This window comes from Homo sapiens, chromosome 11 (genome assembly GCF_000001405.40).
Source record: "Homo sapiens chromosome 11, GRCh38.p14 Primary Assembly".
NCBI classification, from domain to species: Eukaryota; Metazoa; Chordata; class Mammalia; order Primates; family Hominidae; genus Homo; species Homo sapiens.
In genome coordinates this window covers 22,146,092-22,170,389 of record NC_000011.10, presented here as the reverse complement: position 1 = coordinate 22,170,389, position 24,298 = coordinate 22,146,092, and the positions used below count along the sequence as shown (strand labels likewise).

Sequence of the window (24,298 nt, the reverse complement as noted above, 5' to 3'; positions counted from 1 at the left end):
GGACAGAGATGATAAGAAAGAAAGGAGGGAGGAAGAGAAGGGGGGAAAGAGGGATAGAGAGAGAGGGAAGCAATGATATATGTGATTTCGATACAGATTTTACATTACTTTAAAATTCCCGAACAATAGATCATTTTCTAGTTGATTTTCATTATATTCTCCTGATATGTTTTTCTAGATTACTGTAAATATGCATTCCCCTATCTTGAAGTAGTGTATATATTCTATCTAGGTAGAGACTCAAGAGCATATATAGTATATTATTTTAATTTATTTAGTCCTTCTAGTGAGATATATTTGTGTATGCCTTGCAAAATTTCTAACTTTTTCTTCAGTATTTAGTGCCCTCTAGTGTTTACAAAGAAAGGATAACAATACATTTTGCTTCCATTCCGTTTTCTGTTTATTTAGGATTCCTTGCTATAAATGAATTGTATGTATACAGATTGAGGAAATGCTTAAGTATTTTCAAATTTAGTCCAGAAATAAAAATGAGTGCCAGTCAATTCGTTATTTTGGGAGAATTTCAGCTTTAAAATACATACATGGGGTTTCTATCTGGCAAATGAAGAATGAAAATTGAGTGGGAAACCTAGTTACCAGAGTGACCATCCTTTACAAGGTAAGAAAATGAAATATTCACATTGATCCTGTGAAGTTCATTTCATGATACGTTAGCAAATATTGTGAGAATAAAATCAGCATGAGAGAAGGGGAACTAGCAAAGAAGAGAAAGGAAGAGGCATAAAGGAGCTATTTTTCTTTGTTATCAGAAGAGTACTATATTCTTTCCAGGGGATTTTCCCAGTCTTGAGGATTTTTTTATTTTTTTCCATGTAATATAAAGATTTGATATCAACCAACTCTGCAGCTTTGGCTTATTTCACTTGCTTAATATGGGCTTCAGCTTTCTCATCTGTACACTGAAATTGGCTAGTTCAGTAACTTCCAAATCTTTTTGAGGTGGCACAGATGGAGTATACACTTATTCAAACAAAACAGTCCATGGAATTCTACTGCATAACACAGGCAACATCAAAAATAATCTGGCTAAAGTGGAGCAGGGAGCTTGGGATTGTTTTGGTCCCTGCCATTTAACTTCCCCTCTTGTCTAATCCCTAGTTGACCCCTGGGTCACCTCTGAGACTCCCCAGTTTCTTGAGGAATGCGATTTGAGCAATAAGGGCAGCAAAAGAGAAATTCAAAAAAATTTCCCTTCCTATTAGTTGTTGAAATTTACCCTCACATGCATAAACTCTGCTGTCTGTAAGTTATTTTATATTTCAAAAACTAGCAATTTTTTTCACTTACTCATATGCTTAACAAAATTTAATGATAATCAGGTGTTATGTTAAGTTCCAGGAGTGCAATAAATAGATATATTCCTTGTCCTTATGTGTATAGTCCTAGAGTGGAGATTAACTAAATGGTTGCATAAATATTTATAACATTATCGAATTGATACACATAATGGAGAAGTAATAAGTGTTACTATGAGACTATCTGATAGGAAGATTTGATCTATACAGAAGTATCAGGAAATCTTCCTAGGGGAGGTGATGAATGAAGTGGGATCTAAAGATAAATTACCAGTTACCTGGGTACAGTTAGGAAGTAGGAATATTTTATGCAGAATACGGGGCAAGAAGCAGCATAGCATTTTTATTAATTGAAGTATGGTTAATGTAGCTAAAACAAAACAAGCAAGGGATGGGGGCTGGTGGAGAATGAGATGAATAGGGGCCAGGACAAACTGTCTTGTAAGCTACTCAAGGATTTTGATCTGTAGTCTAAGAGAAGTGGAAAAATCTGTAGCTGAAGAGCAATACTACCAAAATATTTTAAGCAGAGGTGTCATGATCAAATCACTCTGGCTCTAGGATGGTGAATGCATTGGTTTGGCATGGGTGAGAAGATGTATAAACAAGAATACAGTAACACATGTGAGGAGATTATTTCTATTGTTTTGAAGAGATATTAGTCTTGGACTGAAATGTGTCAGTGGAGATTTTAAAAAGAAGGTGTCTTTAAGAAATTCTTAAGGGATAAAATTTTCTAACTTGGTCATCGATTGGATAGAAGACGTAGGAGACGGGGAGATATTAAGGATAAACCCTAGATTTCTGTCTTATTCGATGGAATGGATGAGACATGGCCCATTCCAAGAAGGGTACAATTTTTGGTGAAAGGAGAGTCATGAGTGTGGTTAGTTTGGCTATATTAGATTTGAAGATCTTTTGAGACAAGTTGTCAAGCTGGTTTACGAATTCAGATTTGAAATACAAAGGATCTATCTCAGCTGAAGATAAAGATTTGGGAGTCATTTATGTTTCAGTAGCAATGAAGACATAAGCATAGATGATGGTTCCTACAAAGTGCAAAGTGACAATATAATAGAGTCTTAATAGAACTTTTAGGAACTTCAACATTAAATGGCTAAGCAAAGAAGGCCAAAAGGTTCAAAGCAGGTAGGCAGAGCTGTTACTAAATCAAGAAAATATGATATCCTGGGATCTTGGAGAAGAAAGTGTTTCAAGAAGGAAAGGGTGGTCAGAAGAGTTGAAGAGTGCTGTGAACTTATGCAAGATAAGAACCAAAATTATTCATTGGATTTGTTACAGGTAGTTAGACAGGCATGAACAGAGCAGGAGAGGGCTCTCCCTGCCACCCACTAGAAATGCTGGATGATGATTTGGCAATGATCACATTGCCTCTCTAAAAGTGATAAATTGGAAGCCAGTGCCAGGGAGAGGCCATTTCCTGATGATCCATACCTGTTGCACTAAAGTGTTTCATTCAACGCAGATGCCAGGGAGAAGCAAATTTCTGGGCATGCACGTTAAGAGACAAAATGGTGGAGTACGATCTTCTGGGGGCATACCACCGGAAAACAGAAGAAAGAGTCAGATGGGCATGCATACAACTTCCTAAACACATTGCGTATGCTCACCTTCCAAGGGTTAGCAGGGCACTGTGCATATGGGCAGCCCACCTTAAAAGAAGAACAATGGGAAAGGGACCAGCCTATAAAGATCTAGGATCAAACACCACACTTGACCTCGGTGCCCGCTTTGGTCTCTTCTAAGTGTACTTTGCTTTTTTTTTTTGAGAGGGAAGTGTTGCTCTTGTCGTTGTCGCCCAGGCTGGAGTGCAGTGGCACAATCTTGGCTCACTGCAACCTCCGCCTCCTGGGTTCAAGCAATTCTCATGCCTCAGCCTCCTGAGTAATTGGATTACAGGCGCCTGCCACCACGCCTAGCAAATTTTTGTATTTTTAGTAGAGATGAGGTTTTGCTGTGTTGACCTCAGGTGATAGGCCTCCTTTCTTTCCTGTTCTAAAGCCTTTTAAAAGAAACATCCACTCCTGCTCTGAAACTCACCTTGGTCTCTTCTTCTGCTTTATGACCCTCAGTTGAATTCTTTATTCGGAGGAGGCAAGAATTGAAGTTGCTGCAGACTCATACAGATTTGCCACTGATAACTCAGATACCCTCCACCAGTAACAGATTTAGTAACAGGAGATTTTGGGTGATCTTCATGAGACATGGTTCAGTAGCATGATGGAGGCAAAACTCCAGGCTAGAGTAGTTTGAGGAGTGAGTTAGAAGTGAGTTGAAATATTTCTTTATAGAAATTTAGCCTTAAAGGTGAGAAGAGAGATAGTCTGCTAACTAGTATAGGATGTAGTATTGAAGGAAGGACTTTTATATTTAATTGGGAGAAACTTGGGTATGTTTAAACACCAAAGGAAGAATCCACAGAGATGTTGCAACATATGAGAAGGAAAAGGAATAACAATGTTAATCAACAATCCAATTTTCTGGAGAAAAGTAAAGGTGATGTATCTGAAAGCATGTAGGAAAGCATTGCCCTTAGATAGAAAGGAGATACACTTTATTTTAACCAGGGAGAAATATTGTTAAATTAGTTATGTATATATGGCAAATTTGCGTATTTCTTGGCAGGGAAGAGATGTATTTGTGTGAGTGTGTGCATGTATATGTAATGTTTGTATTTTCCCTGTAAGGTAAATGGTGACATCATCTGCTTAATTTTAAGAATAAAATGGAGAGTTAAGACTTGATGATAGAGTAATAAGTGTAGTGATAGAAGAAAATGAGCTCACCATATAAATGTAGAAGGATGAACTAATAGTGTTGCAATTATATCAGGGTTGGTTTCTGTGAATTTATAGCGTATCCAATCTGCTTTCCTCACCTTTATTTTATTTTGCTTTTTACCACATACAATTTAACTGGACCAAATACAATGATAAAGCAGCCATGGAAATAACATTTTACATCTATTTCAGACAGCCTGTATAGTGTCCTGACCATTCACTATATATAATAACATTATGGCATTCCCTGGATCACTGCTAATGTAATTGAACACATACACATGCAAAACAGTGATCTAATCACTGAGCACATGAAACTATTTAGAACAAGAAGAAAGAGAACATGAGAGACCACATGACCACAGATTCTGGTGGGATAGTGACGTTTTGATATACTAACTCTTCCTGGAGTTGGGGAGGGAGAAAAGAGGCATAGAATAATTTCTTTGTGCTTTCAGGATGGTTATAGAGGCAAATCTATAATGAGATGAAGCATGAAAGTATACAGAGATGAAAATGATGTCATATAAAAGAAAGAAAACAGGAAATTAATGTGACAAATTTCACTTCTAAATCAGCTTTCCATGCGAGTACATAAAACCTGGGATCCCAAGGTTGAAAAAATAATTAAAAACTGATAAGGTACACTTTACATATATAACAAACCTGCATATGTAAACCTGAACCTAGAATAAAAGTTAAAAAGAAGACAGAAGAAAAGGAAAACCCTATGACATTTTTGGCTGCTCCTTCTCCTTTTTTATATCCAATCTATTATCCTTCCAATGAGACTGACCTTATAGAAACAACTACATTTGTTTCCAAGAAAATCTGTCTTTAGGGTAATAATTACTATAACTTCTTTTGTTTCAGCTCTTCAATGTATTTGGTACATGAGTAGCAAGGAATTTAGCCAGGTCATAAAGAGATCTGGCCTTTGTCTCAGGTTCCTGGGAGGTAACCTTGGAACCTTTGGCATTTCCTTATTGATAGGAGTGTCTTTGTCATTTGATCTGGATCCGCTAATAGTTTATGCTATAAAGGTAACTCATGGTAAGCCCTTCTGACCATGTGATCTCAGTTTAACCTTCAGGGAGCGTGATTCAATCAATTTTGCCTAAGTAATGGACCCTAATAAAAATTCTGGACATCAAACCTCAATTGAGCTTCTCTGGCTGGCAATACCCATGTGTAGTGCCATAGCTTGTGGCCAGAAGGAGGTAACCCTGTCCATCCCTGACTCCTTGGAGAAAGGATGACTAGATGCCCTGTGTTTGTTTGGATCCTTCCAAGACTCTGCCTTGTGTGTCTTCCTTTGTCTGGTTCTAATTTGTATATTTTCCTTTTAATAAAAGTGACCTTGAGTATAATAACTTTCAGTGAGTTCTGTGAGTCTTTCTAACAAATTATTGAGCCCAAGAATGATTCTGGGGATGATTCTGGGAGCCTCCCAAACTTGTCTGTTTCAAAAGTCTTGGGCAGACTTGGCAGTCTAGAGGACTGTGACCTTAACTTTGCAGTCTAGCTAACTCTAAGTGGTACAAAACCAAATAAAACTTATGAATGTCCCTCTTGATTATTTAGATGACTTTGGGCTCTATGCATATCTGTTTTGTATTCTAAGTGAAGGTTTTTGTGTCTTTCACATGTGGTTCTGCCATTCCAAAAGCCTTGTTACTTTCTTCTGACGTCTCACCTCCAAAACAATGCTCCTTAGAGAGGCTTAGCAGTGAAATTACAAGATCTTATTCCTAGGCCGGGCGCGGTGGCTCATGCCTGTAATCCCAGCACTTTGGCAGGCCGAGGTGGGTGGATCACCTGAGGTCAGGAATTCAAGACCAGCCTGAACATAGTGAAACCCCATCTGTACTAAAAATACAAAATTAGCTGGGCGTGGTGGTGCATGCCTGCAATCACAAGTACTTGGGAGGCTGAGGCAGAAGAATTGCTTGCAGTGAGCGAAGATCACACCATTGCACTCCAGCCTGGGCAATAAGAGCGAAAATCTGTGTCAAAAAAAAAAAAAAAAAGGAAAAAAAAAGATCTCATTCTTAACAATAGCATTCTGGAAATAATAGTATTTCTGAGTGTATCAGTCAATGTCCAATCAGAAGACAAAAACTACATGGTAATTTGAATGGGAAAAATTTAAAGAATTATTAATTATAAAAAGGGATTGGCACAATAAGGGTTTGGTTCTTAAGAAGTAAAGAGAATTCTAAGGAATACGGGAGTAGCAAATATAAAGAGCAGCCAGTACCTCCCAGACTGAGATAGGCTGAGATACAGCAGCCAAGGAAGATCCACTCCCAGCTCCCAGGCTGAGACCCAGATCTTTTGGGAGAAGGCTCTGCTATGGTTCATTGGATGGCAGAGAAATTGCTGTGGCACCTCACTAGTGGAAACTGCTGGAAATCTGCCCTCTAGAAACTTACAGAAAATCTACACTCTAGAGACTGGAAAAAGTTGTTCACAGAAGTTGTCTTGCCTGAGGCATTCCAATACAAAATTGCCTGGTTGAGCGGATGGCAGGGGAAGCTGCTGCCTACTGGGTGCTCCTGATAACTGTCTGCTGCAGGAGCTAGGCTCTGGGGAAGCTGTACTTGGTACAGGAACTGGGCACTAGAGAAGCAGTTCACTGAAACAGCTGGGCATGGGAGAAGTTGTGTGGGCTGCAGAGGGCTTCTGAGCCAGCTCATCAGAACCAGAAAGGAAAATCCTTCTTCGGCAATGTGTCTCTAGTGCCCTCTGTTACACAATGAGGAAGTGAGGCAGGGACTAGATCTGAAATCTTCCAGTCCAGTGTAGTATCATTGTTTTTTTTTTTTAACCACAAGATCATGCAACTTCAAACCGCTGTTAAAAAAAAAAATGAGTTATCTTCTGGAACAATTTTCTCTTTTTTAAAGTGACAACAACAACAATGACTATATTTTCAGGGCAGAAACTATGTGCTCACAAAACCCAGTGAAGACAGTAATATTATCTCCATGTTACAGATAAAGAAAGTAAGACTCAGGGAGGTTAAGTGATTTACTTAATGTCACACAATAAGTAGCAGAGCAGTTTGCCTAGTTCCAAAACCTGACTCTTAGCCTTACATAAGGTAAATCATATACTTATTATTTACAGCCAAGAATTTCTTACATAGGTAAGAAATGGGAATGTTCCTAGGATTAGAAAAAAAAGGAGACAATTATGGTAGGGAGTGACAATTATAAAGTAAGAGATACACCAGCATGGGTTGGCTGATTACTTGTCTACATGGCTGGCTGGGGGAAGTATGTTGTTGGGTGGAGAGGTTGTGGATTGGCGTAAGTTGAGGGAACGCTGGCACTTGGCAGCTGAACAGAAGCTGAGGGCAATGAGAGCAGGGCTGGAGGAGGATTGCAGGAGATAGAAGGCCTTTATGCACCGTCCTTGCCTTTTTCACAGCTTGCTTAATCTACAGTACACAAAATCAACTGAATGGTAGTGTCTTCTCTCCTTTTTGCCTTATTTCTTTAACTACATACTATAAATTTTATGGTTTTTGTTTTGTTTTGTTTTGTTTTGTTTTGTTTGAGGCAGAGTCTCACTCTGTCACCCAGGCTGGAGTGCAGTGGGATGATCTCGTCTCACTGCAACCTCTGCCTCCTGGGTTCAAGTGATTCTCCTGCCTCTGCCTCCAGAGTAGCTGGCATTATAGTTGCCTGCCACCACGCCCCGCTAATTTTTTTGTATTTTTAGTAGGGATGGGGTTTCACCATGTTGGCCAGGCTTGTTTTGAACTCCTGACCTCAAGTGATCCACCCTCCTTGGCCTCCCAAAGTGCTGGGATTACAGCCGTGAGCCACTTTGTGCCCAGCCTATAAATTTTATGTTTAAATTTAAGGTTGGGTAGCTACATAATTTAAAGGAGGGCAAGGTATAGATTTTGAGCAATCACTCTAGTTTTATAATGCCACCCCCAATCCGATTCTTAATGCAAGCATGCGGAACCTTTGCCAAGTACTTCAGAGTACACACAGTATAAGTACAACCATTGTCATAGAGCATTCTCTTAAATGTGGTTTCATTTGAGTCCTTGGATAGAAAATAAATGTTCAGTGAAACGAATGAAATGTTACTTGTGGTTGGGAAGGGAACACTGTAATATTCTTGAATTGGCTATATTTAAATCTCTTGTCAAGTAAAAGCAGAAAAGCAGATCTCTGGCTCATTGCTAGTTGGTGGACTCAGGCTGGTAGATTCTGAGCCTCTGAAGTTGCTTGTGCATGTGTGTTTAGGGAATGCAGACAGATTTTTTAATGACTTTACATAAAAATGCAAGAATATTGGTAAGCATATTTAAAGCAGAAAGAGATGAGAAAAACAAAAAGTTAAACACTTTGTAAATTAATAGAACTGAAAAAGTATCTTAGATATATTTTCATCTAGCCTCTTTCTTTTACCAAAGTAGAACATGAAAGTTGAGTTTTTCTTTTAAAAAACAACTTGGACTTCAGAAGACCTTTTAATAATGCAAATATATTACCATGCAAGGTATCATATGGACACAGAGTTGAAGTTGTAATTACAAAAACCACCAAGGCAAAACCACAAACTCAGAGCTGAAAGAGACATGAACCTCACTTAGCCTAAACTCCTTATTTCAAAGTTGGCAAAGGACTCCCTGTTAAGATGGAGGCCTCTGGAAGCCAATGCCATAAACAATTTCTCTTGTTTTTCTGTTAGTAGCTTTGACATTTCCTTGGCATAAGACTTCGGCCACTATCATCAGTGAGCTTCACTTAACTCTTGTAAAATTGGGATAATAATTCTTCAAGGATTGTTGTGAAGATGAAATGAATTAGTAGCTAGAGAAGCAGCTTCAAACTATGAAGTTCTATATATTCATGTAAGTACATATGAGTATGCTACATGATAACATATAAAAGCAATATAAATATTATTGCTTTTATTACTTAAAAGGAAGATTCCTAGATAAATCTAAGCACTGAGTATAGCTTTTACATTCACTCAGTTTTTTTTTTAGAATGGATACCAAGTAAAGCAGACAGCATTTAAGAAAAATCAACAAAGTATATTTTATAAATGGATAAAATTCAGCATTGTAGAAGTAGACAGTCACTGTTCCTTGTTAGGAAATGTGACTAAGGCTTCATCTATTTTAGCAACTACAATATTTAAGCAACTAAATAGCAGACTATATGTTGCCTTAAAATAGTCAATCATCTTGTAATTCTTAGTGTACCTTTTATTACCCTAGCAAAAATTGATTTGTCAGAGACAGCAAATGGAATATGGAACAAGTTCATTCTGATGAAGAGTGGAAGGGTGAGGAGGGTGTCAGCATGGAAAATCCAGCATAACAGAGCTTCCATAAAATGTCTGCAGTCTTGGAAAGATGTGTTCATTTTTCAAATCTAAGTGCAGGGCTTTACCTGGCTCCTATGACAACTGTCATATACTTTTCCAATATAGCAGCTGTCTTTCTGGAGTGAACCTATGTTATTTCTGTTCAGGAGTTAGCCTTTCTGACGTTATTACCATGGTTTCTCCACATATACTTGTGTATATGCAAGTGAATGGCCTCTGACCAATAAGGCCTAAAGTTTCCCTCAGCTTGACTAACCGTTAGACATATTTATTCTCTACATTAAGCCCCTCACCTCTCTTTTCTTGGATTATTGACTTTAGAATATTTGTAATCCTAAATTCTCTGCTCCTTTGAGATGTTAATATTTTAAAAAGCCTCTTGCTAGTTTTACCACCCAGAAAATGCTTTCCTAAAAACTTGGAAATGTACTCTTTGAAATATAATGAACAAGGAAGATAGCATCCCTATCTCCCAGTTTTTGTGGAAGGTTAGGAACCTACCTTCAGCAAATGCTTTGTTCCAAGTTGTGAAAGGACCTCCAGTTAGGAAGACATAAGAAAGTCTTCTTTTCCTATGGGTAAGGCCAGTTAGCAAACACAGATGGCTTATGACCCTCAACCCCAGCTCTTAATAAAGACTCTCTCCCCCTTTTCTTAGTGGAGCTGAGTGTGCAGACTTTGTGCCCTTTCTCCTATTGCTGGTGATCAAATTGGAACAAAACTAACTTGGGTGTTTACTGTCTTGTCCAGTGTGATGTCTTTCCTTTAACAGCCCTCTTTTTATTTATTTACTTATTTTTATAGATTCAAGGAGTACATGTGGAGGTTTATTACTTAGATATATTGAGAAGCAGTGAGGTTTGGGCTTCTCGTGCACCCATCACCCGAGTAGTGAATGCTGTAACCAGTAGGTGATTTTTCAACCTCCTCTCCACTCCCATTCTTCCCACTTTGGGGGTCCTAGTGTCTATTATTTCCATCTTCATGTCCACATGTACTGATTGTTTATCTCCTACTTTTGAGAATATGCAGTATTTGATTTTCTGTTTTTGAATTATGTTACTTAGGATAATGGTCTCCAGCTCCATCCATGTTACTGAGAAGGACAGCACCCTTCTTATACTTATTTTCAAAGCCAAAAGCAGAACTCATTTGAATGCTCTGTGTAGACCCTGATTGATTGGGCTTTCTGGATGCCTCTTGTTTCTACACACACACACACACACACACACACACACACACACACACACACACACAAAGGGAGAGAGAGAGTGAAAGGGAGGCAGTCAGGATTTTATTTTTAGAAAGTTTTCCTTGATTTTTTTTTTCTCTTTTGGAGTTTCCTGCCATGGTATTATGGCTATTGCTGAGTGTTGTCATTACTACTATTTGTATTGGCAATAACCGCTTCATCATATAGTTAAATTTTACATAATGTTTTCCATAGTACTTTATGTAGTACTTGTATAACTCCTAAGGGATATGCATATGCTCAATGAAAATCAAGGAGTTTTGCCGGAGTAGCCTTAATTTATTGATTTTATTGGGTACAGTTTTCTGATTCTAGTTTTTAGTAAAAACACGTTTATTTAAAATGTCTAATGGGACAGGAACCTTATATCTCAAGGTAATGCCATTCAAATGGGACCACTTGAGAAACAGGAACCATATGAATCAGTTTTTGGTGATTAGTTCCCGAATAAGTCAAATAACCAGAGGCCACATTCTTAGCAAGAAACACGAGGTAAGCAAGTCTTATAAAGAATACTTTTTCTAAAATTTTCTGAATACAAATATAAATGACAAGTAAGAAAGGGAAAAAGCAAACTTAATTCACCCTCCAAACCCAAGTGTTATTTTCTAGTGACACTGTAAATTCTTGTTCTCAATATGCTTGCCTTTTCCTTTTGCTCTCTGCCCTGAACCTAGAGTAATGCTTGGCTAAAAATAAGCCCTTATTAAGTGCCTAGAAGAGATTCCTTGTTTAAATTTCATTTTAAATTTGTAGGTGGTGGAATCAAATTGAAGGAGTTAACTAATGTTTTTCTCCTAATGATTCCAAATGCATAGTGTCACTGAAAGGTGGGTGTACTGTGCCTCACTTAGAGAAAGAACCATATGGTTACTGTGTAGGGGTAATTTTACCATAAAAATTTAATAAGAGCAAACATTTATTGGATACTTACATGTGTCAAGGGCTGGGCTAAATGCTTCATATGAAATATCTTCTTTTAATCTTCATAATAACACTATATGTTAGATTCTATTATTATTCCCCTTTTACAGAAAAGGACAGCTCTGGTTACTGCTTTGTCCTGGACTATATTGCTGGACTGCCCTCCCCTCCATGTCCCCATGTATTTTTTTTTAATGTATAGTTTGCACTGAGATCGGGAATGGATAAGTCTAAAAAGAAAATTAAGAAGGAAGAGGCTGCAGATTAAATGAAGTGAGGGAATTTACCAGATACAAACCCTATGGAAGAAATCAGAAGCTGAGAACAGAGAACTAGTTAATTATAGTAAGGTGAGGAATTTGGTTTGGATTTTGTGTCCCCCTAAATTTACCTTACTTTTAAAGTTATAGTAGAATATAAATATTCAGATAATCTTAAAATACAGGCTTAACTGATTTGCTTTTCTTGCCTTTCTTTGCTATTCAGCAGGAATTGAATGACAAAGTTTCTCCTTAACCTCTGGAAGGATTTGAAGATGAATTTCTTTCCCTCAAGGAAAGATGGGAATACTTAGGATCTGGGTTTAATAAGCTGTCAAAGTCAATTGAAAGAAATGAAAAGGAAGACGAGGGTTTGATGTGAGACGCTGGGGAAAATGGAAGGCAGAGACAAGTTTCCCTCAGTACAGGGCTAAGGAAAAGAGAGGAAGGTATGTGGTTGCTGGGTCTGTGGCAATCCAAGCCCTGATTCCTGGAAGTGCCCTGTAGAGATAACAGAACCTCTGAGGAGGGTTGTATAGTGCATTTAGGGAGAGGAGATTCATAGTTCTTTTTCTTCCTCTAACTATGCAGGTAAAGACTGTAAAAATTCCTCTCCATGTCACTACTGTGTTCAGGTGAGCACAGAATAGCTTACACACTTTGTAAGCCAATGCATTCAGCAGGAGGTGGTGTAAGAGTGGGGCTTAAGAGCAGGATCCCTGTGAAAATCTGATAAGACACACCCATAACTTCTTGGGCAAGTCTTCCTTCCAGATGCTCCTTCTGAGGACTGGTATTAGTGGGTCGAAGTTTATTTTGTTGAAATAGTACTATGTAATCCAGCACTCTTAGTCAGAATCCCTGACACGAAATATCTACATTGTGAATTTAAGCTAAATACATTGCTAGTTTACTAAGATGCTTATAGCTGAATTTTCCTGGTTTCATGCTTATGGCTAGAAGAGGTACTAAGGTACAATCAAAATAGTATTCTCTGTACTCTGAAAGAGCCAAGAGAACCAGATCCAGACCCAGTTCTGCAGTTTACTTACCATGGTGAGGCCTGGGCAAATGAGTGCCCCCTCTAGACCTTACGTTTCCTACTTGTGAAATATAAGTGAGAGGAGTGGCCTCATTGCTATATAGAGCTCTAGTCAATTCTGACTGTGGATCCCTCACTCTCCTGTATAGAGTCATGTTATGCCAATATTACCTGCAAACTGCCAAATGGGCCAGGTAATAAAGACTAACAAATATAATGCTATTTATGAATTACCCTGAGGATCAGTTCAGATTAAAAAAGTGGAACAGTAAATCCCACAGAGCTGAACACTGGAGAAGAAAAGTTGTTAACTTGGTGGCCTCTGCTGCTACTGTGCCTTCTTGAGGGAAATCTTAACTGATGGAGAAGGGAGTGGAAGAAGGAACCTGAGAAGGTGAATAAGAAACCAGGCTAGTAGGCTGCAGCTGCCGTCTGCTTGCACCAGTGCTGCCTGAGAAGTTTAGAAAAGCCACCTTCTCAGCTACATCTGGAAGCAGCACGGTCTTCTTGAGAATTTCAGGTAGCCAAAGAACTCTGAACGAAGACTTAGAAGACCGGTTTCATGTCTATTAATAATAAAAATAACAGCTTTACCATCAATTGATCACTTAATTGTGCAACAGGACAAAAGCCTTTTGCAACATGATCTCATTTCATGTGTACAGCAACCCTGTAAAGTGAACATTTTTAGTAACTCTATTTTAGAGACAAGAAAACCAAGATTCCCAAAAGTATTAGTGATTTTCCCAAGTTCAGCCAGCTAAATAGCTTTGTATTAGGTGCAGAACTTAATAGCTATTATTTGGGGAAGGGGTGAGAAGAGTATGTTTATCACATGTGTTGTTTATACCTCCTTACACTCTCTGAAAATCCTTTTAATATTTAATGATAAAATCAGATGATGAATTATATCGAAATAGCAGTGAAGGTGGGGAAAAAGTATCAAAAGGGTAACAATTTGAAGTTTCTGTGAAAATGGAGAGGAAAAGACTTCTTGATGTGGAAGTTTGGGAAGTTCCACAAGCTGATTTCTTAGGCACTTGTAAGACTCAGATTTTATTCCCCTAGGTACATTTACAATTCAGTATCTTCTTTTCTTGGTTAAGGTCCTCACACCAGTCCCAGTAAGTAGAGGGTAGCTCTCTTTCACTTCAGCAATTTGTCCTATGATGTGGAAGGGCTTTGCTTATGGAGTCTTCTTAATGCTTCAGGGAAGAGAAGTAGCCACAAATGCTCTGAAGAGATAAAGCGGTTTTCCGCCTAAGTGTATTTGAGGCAGGATTTCTGCCCACAATTACGCTTCTCCCTTCCACTGCCTTCATTTCACTTTGATTAAAGGGATTGAAATAATCTGGGTCTTCACCAAGTCCCAGTTAAAAAAAGAAATTCATAGGTGGTGGTGGGTGGTGACTAGTGCTATAACTAAGTCTTTAAGTAAGTATCTTAAGCTACCTTTCCCAAAATGGATTCCAGGAAATAGTAGTCTCACAAGTTTCACTCCAAACTGAAGGCTCTTTGTTCAAATTCCTTTTGGAAATGCTGCAGTCTTTGCTGATGTCAACAAGAGGCTACTAGCACTTACAGCCAGACAATTCTTTGTTTTCTGCAATTATCCCCAAATATTGCACGTTATTTAGCATCCATGTTCTCTGGACTTTAAATGCAAGTAAAGGTTCTCATCATCATGATAATCAAAATTGACTTAATACATTTATAAGTGATTTATATGATTTGGCTCTGCCCCCCTACCCCCTCAAATCTCATCTTGAATTGTAGCTCCCACAATCCCCACATGTCGTGGGAGGAACCTGGTGGGAGGTAATTGAATCATGGGGGCGGGTTCTTCCCCATGCTGTTCTCATGATAGTGAATAAGTCTCATGAGATCTGATGGTTTTAAAAAAGGCAGTTCCCCTGCACAGGCTCTCCTGCCTGCTGCTATGTAAGATGTGCCTTTACTCCTCCTTCGCCTTCCACCATGATTGTGAGGCCTCCACAGCCATGTGGAACTGTGAGTTAATTAAAACGTTTTATAAAAAAGTAAATTACCCAGCCTTGGGTATGTCTTTATTAGCAGTGTGAAAACAGACTAATACTATGATCCTTGGAGGATGGTACCAAACCTCATTGAGAACTACTGTAGCTATCGCCTTATGCAAATTCCCAGAACACTTGTCATGTTGGTATATTAAAGACTCAGGGAAGAATCTGTTTTCACTATATTGTTTTGTTTTAACTTTTAATCTCCTAGGTATCAGTGCAGGTTTGTTACATAGGTATACTTATATCACAGGATTTTGTTGTACAGATTATTTAATCAGCCAGGTATTAAGACTGGTACCCACTAGTTGTTTCTACCATATTGTTATTCGATTCAGCATATCCTAAAAAATTATAGAGCCTCTTACCCCCTCTCTCTTGTTTTTCTTTAGGATACCAAGTGATATCCCATGAAATTCCCTTTGGAAAATACTACTTTAGCAAGAAGGATGAGGAAGGGGATATTAGAAAGAGCAGAGACATTAACGATTGCCTAATATCTGAAGCCCACTATTTACCCCATGAGACAGATATGGCCCACTTGGCCCTGAGGACTTTTCAAATTTTTGCTTTAGACATGATTACCATTCATGATCTTTCAAGCCGCTGGGACCTAATCATTTATTTCTCTTTGAGAGGTGTCTGGCTAGCTGGCTTGGATATATTAGTTATTGTATTTAATGTTGTTAGTAATTCATTATACAGTTTGAGCTGCTTGGTTTCATTTTATGAACATTTTATCATAAAACAACAAGAAATTCTTAGAAAAGATTTCTGCCATAAGAAAAAATAGACGTGAATAAGGCCCCCATATTCAACTTGCTTATATTTGGGTCATGTATAATTCTCATACACTAACTGTGGACCCTTTGACTTGCTTTTGTGTTTAGTTTAAAAGATTATACTAGATAAGCACACGTACATGGATGCCTAATTACGTAGTAGTCATTAAGGAAAGCAATGCATTTTTCTGTATTCTAAACTCATATTTTGCTAATGGGAGAAACTGGTCCAGAAAATGGTCAGCAGCAGAGATGTGATTTGGATCCAGAAATCCTGACCCCCGGCAAGAATCTTCATACTGCTTCATTTTGTTATCTCTTAATAGAGTAAGAACTACTGAGATGTGGAAAATGAAGATTTGGAATGAGAGGTGGATGAAGGGAAGAAACTGAACTTGAATAGGAGGGCCTTTTAACAGAAAGTTCTCAGAAAATCATTATTTAACCATTCCAGTGTTAAAAAAAAAAAAAAGTCCATCTTCACCCTCCCCAAAGAAACTCATTTCATGCTAAATATATAAACTTAACAGCTGCTTTGGTGAACCACCAGTGCCTGGCACCTCTATTATCAAGAAGCAGTGAGTCCTGATGGCAGGTTTGGGTTTCTTGGGGGCAGGTAATAACAGGTCAAGGCTTTGCTTTTTACCCAAATGCGGTGTAAAAGGAGTTTTGGGTTTCCTCAATTTCAGCTTGTCGTGGCCAGGTCTAGATAAGATTATATGGTCTTTTCTTAAAAGACCTCAGATATTTCTTTCATCCCATTCTCAGTCACAGTGTATTTTTTCTTCTGCTACTTGACTGATAAAGTTTTTTTAAATACTAGTCTCTCTCTTCTTCCTTGCTGCAGCTATAGAAATTGATTCAGAAGTGAAACAGTACTGTAAGGGTATTCTTTTGATAGTTCATTATTAAGAGGAATCTCTATATGTATTTTTATCATATTTCAGCTCCAAGCGGTAAAAGTAGCTTCATTACGAGCAGCTAAGTTCTAAATTACATATGTCAAAATAACAAAAACACTTAGTTTGCAAGGGGTTGAGGTATAAGGATTTGGAGGAATCAGTAGTGAGTTTTGGAGAAATTGGTACCTGCCCTATGTTTCAAAGCGGAAGTTCAAAACTCAAATGTCTGGTGGAATCTGGGCACCAAACTGTAATGAGTGAAATTGGCTAAGTATACAAAAAAAAAAAAAAAAAAAAAAAAAAAAAAAAAAAAAAAAAAAAACAGCTCATGCCTGATGATAATGGACAACTGACACACCCGGTAAGTGTGAGTCATGGCATAGCAAATACTAGTAACTGTGGCAAATTCTAGTGGGCAAGTGGGCATGCCCCATCTAAGAAGGGCAAACACTACTTTACCACAGCTGTGGAACAATATTGACTCTCTGTTGGCAGCCTTTCAAAGGAAACGAAAAATTCAAATTTTACACATTAGTAACCAATTCATAAAAACAATAAGTGGGTAAACATGTCAAATAGAATGGGCTGAGTCTCACTGGTTCTTAGGTTAAATAAGCTTAGTATTATCTCCACATCTCTCTGCCCTTCCAAACTGGAATCTTCCAATACAAGGCATCATTCTGATGCTTTGTCTCTGGAGTTGGTTTTCAGTGTATAGGTATCCCTACGTGTTTTTTAGCTTGTGAGTCCTAATACTTAAAGAGCCAGCAGGGGGAACCCACAGACTGTGTGACTCAAAACCAAAGGCATGGATTTTTAAAGTTTATACATGGAAAAAAAAAAAGCTATTTTGAGGACCAGCAACCAGCTGCCAGTGGTCTGGTCAGCAGTTTGAGTTGTGACTTTCACACCAACCTTGGTTTTTACTTGTCTAATAAAATATTTTCATACTAATAACTACTTACACAACTGGAAACACTGTATGCAAACTCTTCTCTGGAACTTCCATCAGGATATGGAATGTGGCTTAAATGTTGAAAGTAGAAATCACGGCCGGGCATGGTGGCTCACGCCTGTAATCCCAGCGCTTTGGGAGGCCAAGGCGGGCGGATCACGAGGTCAGGAAATCGAGGCCATCCTGGCTAACACGGTTAAACCCCATTTCTACTAAAAATACAAAAAAAAAAAAAAAAAATAGCCGGGCGTGGTGGCGGGGGCGCCTGTAGTCCCAGCTACTCGGGAGGCTGAGGCAGGGGAATGGCGGGAACCCGGGAGGCGGAGCTTGCAGTGAGCCTAGATCGCACCACTACACTCCAGCCTGGGAGACAGAGAGACTCCGTCTCAAAAAAAAAAAAAAATAAATAAAAATAAAAATAAAAAAGAAAAAAAGAAAGAAAGAAAGAAAGTAGAAATCATGCCCTTCTCTGGATCTGTCTGAATGCTGGTTCAGATAGGCGAGGGAGTGATGTGTCATGCCATATTCATTTATTTTGACATAAAATGGATTTATATCAACCAGCATTTTATTATAAAGATCTCACTATATGTACAGTGATGTATTAAATGTAAAATTGTATAATATTGATTCACCGCCTCCAAACATGTTTAGGGTAATTGTGAACGCTAACACACACGTACACACACACACACACACAGACACTCACACAGAGGGAGAGAGAAAGAGAGAGAGATAAATTGCTAGATAAGTGCAATCTGTCTTGTGGAGAAGGCTTGGGCAGAATTTACATCAGTCAGTGCTTTTTAACCTTTATCTTATAATGGCACATGTGGGAAATAAAAATATTCATAGGCACATTGGGTAAACTTAATGGTTATGATTATATAAAAGATGAATAGCTCTGACCACCCCAGGCTACATCTAGCCATGGAGAGGAATATGAGGATTAGCATCTGGGCAGATATTTAGTCTCCTTTTAGCATAGCAGGGTCCTGATGTTGGTCAGGAGCCTCTGCTTTAGGTAGGTAAGAGAGGAGCGAGTAACATAGTGGCCCCTTTGGGAATGATTTTTCTTTTTCCTTTTGCTATCTCATAATGTTGATTTAGTTATTTCATACTGGTATTGGTCAAAAAATAAATTAAGTTCTTTGTCACTTTCCTCTATTTTGAAAATATAGGATGAAATAAAAGGTTTAGTTTTCCAGAATTTTTCCCTAAAATGAACTGAATGTTTGTGTTCCTCTCAAAATTTATATGTTGAACTCTTAAGACTCAATGTGTCGGTATTAGCAGTGGGGACTTTGGGAGAATATTAGGTGATGAGGGTGGAGCCCTCAAGAATGAAATTAATACCCGTATATAAGGGACCCAACAGAGCTCTCACTCTCTTTCTGCCATGTGAGGATACCAATGTACAATAAGAAGTTGGCAGTCTGCAACCTGGAAGATGGTCTTCACCAGAACCCAACCATGCTTCCACCCTGGTCTTGGATTTCCAACCTGCAGACTGTTAAGAAATAAATTTCTATTGTTTAAAGTCACTTAATTTATGGTGATTTGTTATAGCAGTGCAAACTGACTAAGCACACCCCTTTTCAAAAGTTCTAAGACCAAAGCATCATATCTCTAGACAAGATGACATATTTTATCAGGTAAGAGCTAATCCAACTCCCAGTGTTGGTTTAGGCTTCTTCGGCTCACTCACTTTTCATAACACTATTGCTTGGAGGGAAAAGAAAGGTCAATAAGAAGAAAAACAAGAAAGAGAATAAGGCCATTACTGGTATTATCATTATACCTAATAAAAAAACCTAATGAATGCCCTCTCTATGCCATCAACCTCCATACTCATAATTACTTATTTATATTAAAAAAACAGGCTACTGCTATTTTGGAAGAGAATAATATGTAGTTATAATTGAGCATACTGAAGTCTAAATGATAGAATTATTAGTGAACTGAGAGGAGACTGAAATTGTTCATATTTATGCAGAAGAGCATTATTCCATATTACTGCATAGTGGCTTTCCTTTGTTCTTTTCCTTCAGAGCTAATCAAGTTAGATTATGCCTATTAAGTAAATATACTCAGAGGGGCCAAGATGGCCAAGTAGAAACACCTGCGGTTGGAGGTGCACCCCAAGAACAACGAAAACGGCGAGTGAATCCTGCACCGGCAACTGAGGCATCCAGGTTCTCTCATTGGGACTGACTAGGAAGTTGGTGTGATGCACAGAGAGCAAGGAAAAGCAGGGTGGAATGAGGGCCCACCCTGGAGCAGCACGGGGCAAGGCGAGCTCTCACCCCTAGCCAAGAGAGGCAGTGAGTGATTGTGCTACCCCACCCAGGAAACCACACTTTTTCCATGAATCTGTGCCACCTGCAGATCAGGAGATCCCCTTGTGAGCCAATGCCAACAGGACCCTGGGTCCCAAGCACAGAGCTGTGCAGATTTTCGGTGGGCACTCTACTGGAGACTACCTAAGGCTACCGAGTTTCCAGGGAAGGGGCAGCAGCCATCACAGCAGCTCCAGTCTGTCATTTTCCCCAGCTAGTTCCAGGGAGCCTGGGTGGCTTGGAGCCAGGAGGAAATCCCCGCAGTGCAGCACAGTGGCTGTGGCAGTTCATGGCCAGACTGTATCTTTAGGCCAGACCAGATCCATCCCTTTTCACTGGATGGGGCCTCCCTGAGGGAATTTCTACAACTCCAGCCAGGGGTTTATGGACAGAATTCTGATCTCCCTGGGACAGAGCCCCTGGGGAAGGGGTGGCAGTTGTCTCCATGAATCAGTGGACTTGACTTAGTCTTTCCCCCTGCTGGCTCTGAGGAATACAGGCAGTCCAGACCAGTGGGATTCCCCCCAGCACAGTGCACCCCCACCACCAAGGGGCAGCGAGGATGCTTGGTTAAGCGGGCCCCTGATCCTGTGCATCCTGACTAGGTGAGATCCCCCAGTAGGGTCACCGGGGACCTTACACAGGAGCATCCCTGCTGGCATCAGGTCGGTGCCCCTCTGAGACAGACCTTCCAGAGGAAGGAGCAGGCAGCCATCTTTGCTCTTCTGCAACCTCCACTGATAACACCTCCAGGTGTGGGAGGGATGCAGGTGAATAGGGTCTGGTGTGGACCCCCAGCAAACTGCAGAAGCCCTACAGAAGAGGAATTTGACTGTTAAAAAGAAAAACAAACAAACAAAGCAACAACAATAGTATCAACAAAAAAGTTCCCACAAAAATCCTGTCCAAAGATTTGCAGCCTCAAAGATTGAAGCTAGATAAACTCATGAAGATTAGAAAGAATCAATGAAAAAATGCTGAAAACTCAAAAAGCCAGAGTGCCTCTTCTCTTCCAAATAATCTCAACACCTCTCCAGCAAGGGCACAGAGCTAGGCTAAGGTTGAGATTGATGAACTGCCAGAAGAAGCCCTCAGAAGGTGAGTAATAATGAGCTTTGCTGAGCTAAAGGAGCATGTTCTAACCCAATGCAAAGAAGCTAAGAACCATTATAAAACATTACAGGAGCTGTTAACCAGAATAACCAGTTTAGAGAGGAACCTAAATGACCTGAAGGAGGTGAAACAAAAGGAGAACTTCACAATGTAACCACAAGTATCAATAGCCAAACAGACAAAGCAGAGAAATGAATTTCAAAGCATGAAAACTATTTTTCTGAAATAAGACAGGCAGACAAGATTAGATAAAAAAGAATGAAAAAGAACTAACAAAACCTCCATGAACTATGGGCTTATGTAAAAAAGACAGAACCTGTGACGATTGGGAGTAGTGAAAAAGACAGGAAGAATGGAGCCAAGTTGGAAAACATCAGAATATCATCCAGAAGAACTAGCAAGACGGACCAACATTCAAATCAGGAAATCTAGGGAACCCCAGTAAGATCCTCCATGAGGTCAACCTCAAGACACATAATTGTCTGATTCTCTAAGGTCAAATTGAAGGAAAAACTGTTAAGAGCAGCCAGAGAGAAACGCCAGTTCATCTATAAAGGGAAGCCCGTAAGACTAACAGCAGACCTCTTAGCAGAAACCCTACAAGCCAAAAGAGATTGGGGGCCAATATTCAGCATTCTCGAAGAAAAAAATTTCCAACCCAGAATTTCATATCCATCCAAACTAAACTTCATAAGCAAAGGAGTAATAAAATCATTTTCAGAAAAGCAAATGCTGAGAAAATTCATCACCACCAGAGCTCCTGAAGGAGGCACTAAATATGGAAAGGAAAAACCGTAACCAGCCACTACAAAAACACACTGAAGTACAAGACCAATGACACTATAAAGCAACTACATCAACAAGTCTGCAAAATATACCAGTTAGCATCATGATGACAGGATACAATTCATGCATAACAATATAAACTTTAAATGTAAATGGGCAAAAGGCCCCAGTTAAAAGACACAGAAGGCAAACTGGATAAAGAGACAAGACCCATTGGTGTGCTATATTCAAGAGATCCATCTTACATGCAAAGACACACATAGGCTCAAAACAAAGAGATGGAGGAACACTTACCAAGCAAATAGAAAGCAGAAAAAAGCAAGGTTTGCCATCCTAGTTTCTGACAAAACAGATTTTAAAACAACAAACACACACAATAAAAAAAAGAGAGAGAGAGAAAGAAGGGTATTAATAATGGTAAAGGGTTCAATTCAATAAGAAGAGCTAACTATACTAAATATATATGCACCCAATACAGGATCACCCAGATTCATGAAGCAAGTTATTAGAGACCTACAAAGAGACTTAGACTCCCACATAAGAATACTGGAAGACTTTAACACCCCACTGTCAATATTAGACCAATTATTGAGACGGAAAATTAACAAAGATATTCAGGACTTGAACTCAGCTCTAGATCAAGTGGACCTGATAGATATCCATAGAACTCTCCACCCCAAAACAACAGAATATACATTCTTCTCAGATCCACATGACAATTCCTCTACAATCAATCAAATAATTGGAAGTAAAACAATCCTCAGCAAATGCAAAAAAAAAAAACCCTCTGAAATTATAACGAACAGTATCTGAGATCATAACAATCAAATTAGAACTCAAGGTTAAGAAACTCACTCAAACCACACAACTTCATGGAAATTGAACAACCTTCTCCTGGGTAAATAATGAAATTAAGGCAGAAATCAAGAAGTTCTTTGAAACTAATGAGAAGAAAGAGACAATATAACAGAATTGCTTAATAAAGCTATAGCAGTATTAAGAGGGAAATTTGCAGCACTAAATGCCCACATCAAAAAGCTAGAAAGACCCCAACTCAACATCCTAACATCACAACTAAAAGTACGAGAGAACCAAGAGCAAACAAACCCCAAAGCTAGCAGAAGACAAGAAATATCCAAGATCAGAGCAGAACTAAAGGAAATAGAGACACAAAAAACCTTTCAAAAAAAATCAGTGAATCCAGGATTTGATTTTCCGGAAAAAATAATAAAATAGATAGACAGCTAGCTAGACTAATAAAGAAGAAAAGAGAAGACTCAAATAGACACAATAAAAAATGATAAAAGGGCTATCACCACTGACCCCACAGAAATACAAACAGCCATCAGAGAATACTATAAACACCTCTACGCAAATAAACTTGAAAATCTAGAAGAAACAGATAAATTCCTGGACACATACACCCTCCCAAGCCTGAACCAGGAAGAAACTGAATCCCTGAATAGACCACTAATGAGTTCTGAAATTGAGGCAGTAATAAATAGCTTACCAAACGAAACAAAGCCCAGGACCAGCCAGATTTACAGCTGAATTATACCAGAGGTACATAGAGGAGCTGTTTCTATTTCTCCTGCAATTATTCCAAACAATTGAAAAGTTAGGGACTCCCCCTCCCCACTCATTTTATGAGGCCAGCATCATCCTGCTACCAAAACCTGGCAGAGACACAACAAAAATAGAAAATTTAAGGCCAATATCTCTGATGAACATCAATGCAAAAATTCTCAATAAAATAATGGCAAACTGAATCCAGCAGCAACACATCAAAAAACTTATCCACCATGATCAAGTTGGCTTCATTCCTGGGATGCAACATTGGTTCAACATACGCGAATCAGTACATGTAATTTATCACATAAACAGAACTAAAGACAAAACCCACATGATTATCTCAGTAGATGCAGAAAGGGTCTTTGATATTTCAACATCGCTTCATGTTAAAAACTCTCAGTAAACTAGGTAATGATGGAATATACCTCAAAATAATAAGAGCCGTATATGACAAACCTATAGCCAATATCATACCGAATGGGCAAAAGCTGGAAGCATTCCCCTTGAAAACTGGCACAAAACAAGGATGCCCTCTCTCACCACTCCTGTTCAACACACTATTTGAAGTTCTGGCCAGGGCAATCAGACAAGAGAAAGAAATAAAGGGTATTCAAATAGGAAGAGAGAAAGTCAAATTATCTGTGTGTGCAGATGACATAATCCTATACCCAGAAAACACCATTGCCTCAGCCCAAAATCTTCTTAAGCTGATAAGCAACTTCAAGAAAGTCTCAGGATACAAAATCAATGTGCAAAAATCACTTGCATACATTTACAACCATCTGATCTTTGACAAACCTAACAAAAACAAGCAATAGGAAAAGAATTTCCTATTTAATAAATGGTGCTGA

At 38.9% G+C, this 24,298-nt stretch overlaps 1 long non-coding RNA gene across 1 annotated transcript in view; it reads left to right on the top strand.

Annotated features, from left to right (window-relative positions):
* The first annotated feature begins 466 nt into the window (after positions 1 to 466).
* Positions 467 to 24,298, top strand: part of LOC124902645 (uncharacterized) — a 74,729-nt gene continuing 50,897 nt past the window's right edge. The window contains exon 1 of the long non-coding RNA XR_007062622.1: positions 467 to 622. This is a non-coding gene — a long non-coding RNA (uncharacterized LOC124902645). The remainder of the gene's footprint in view (positions 623 to 24,298) is intronic.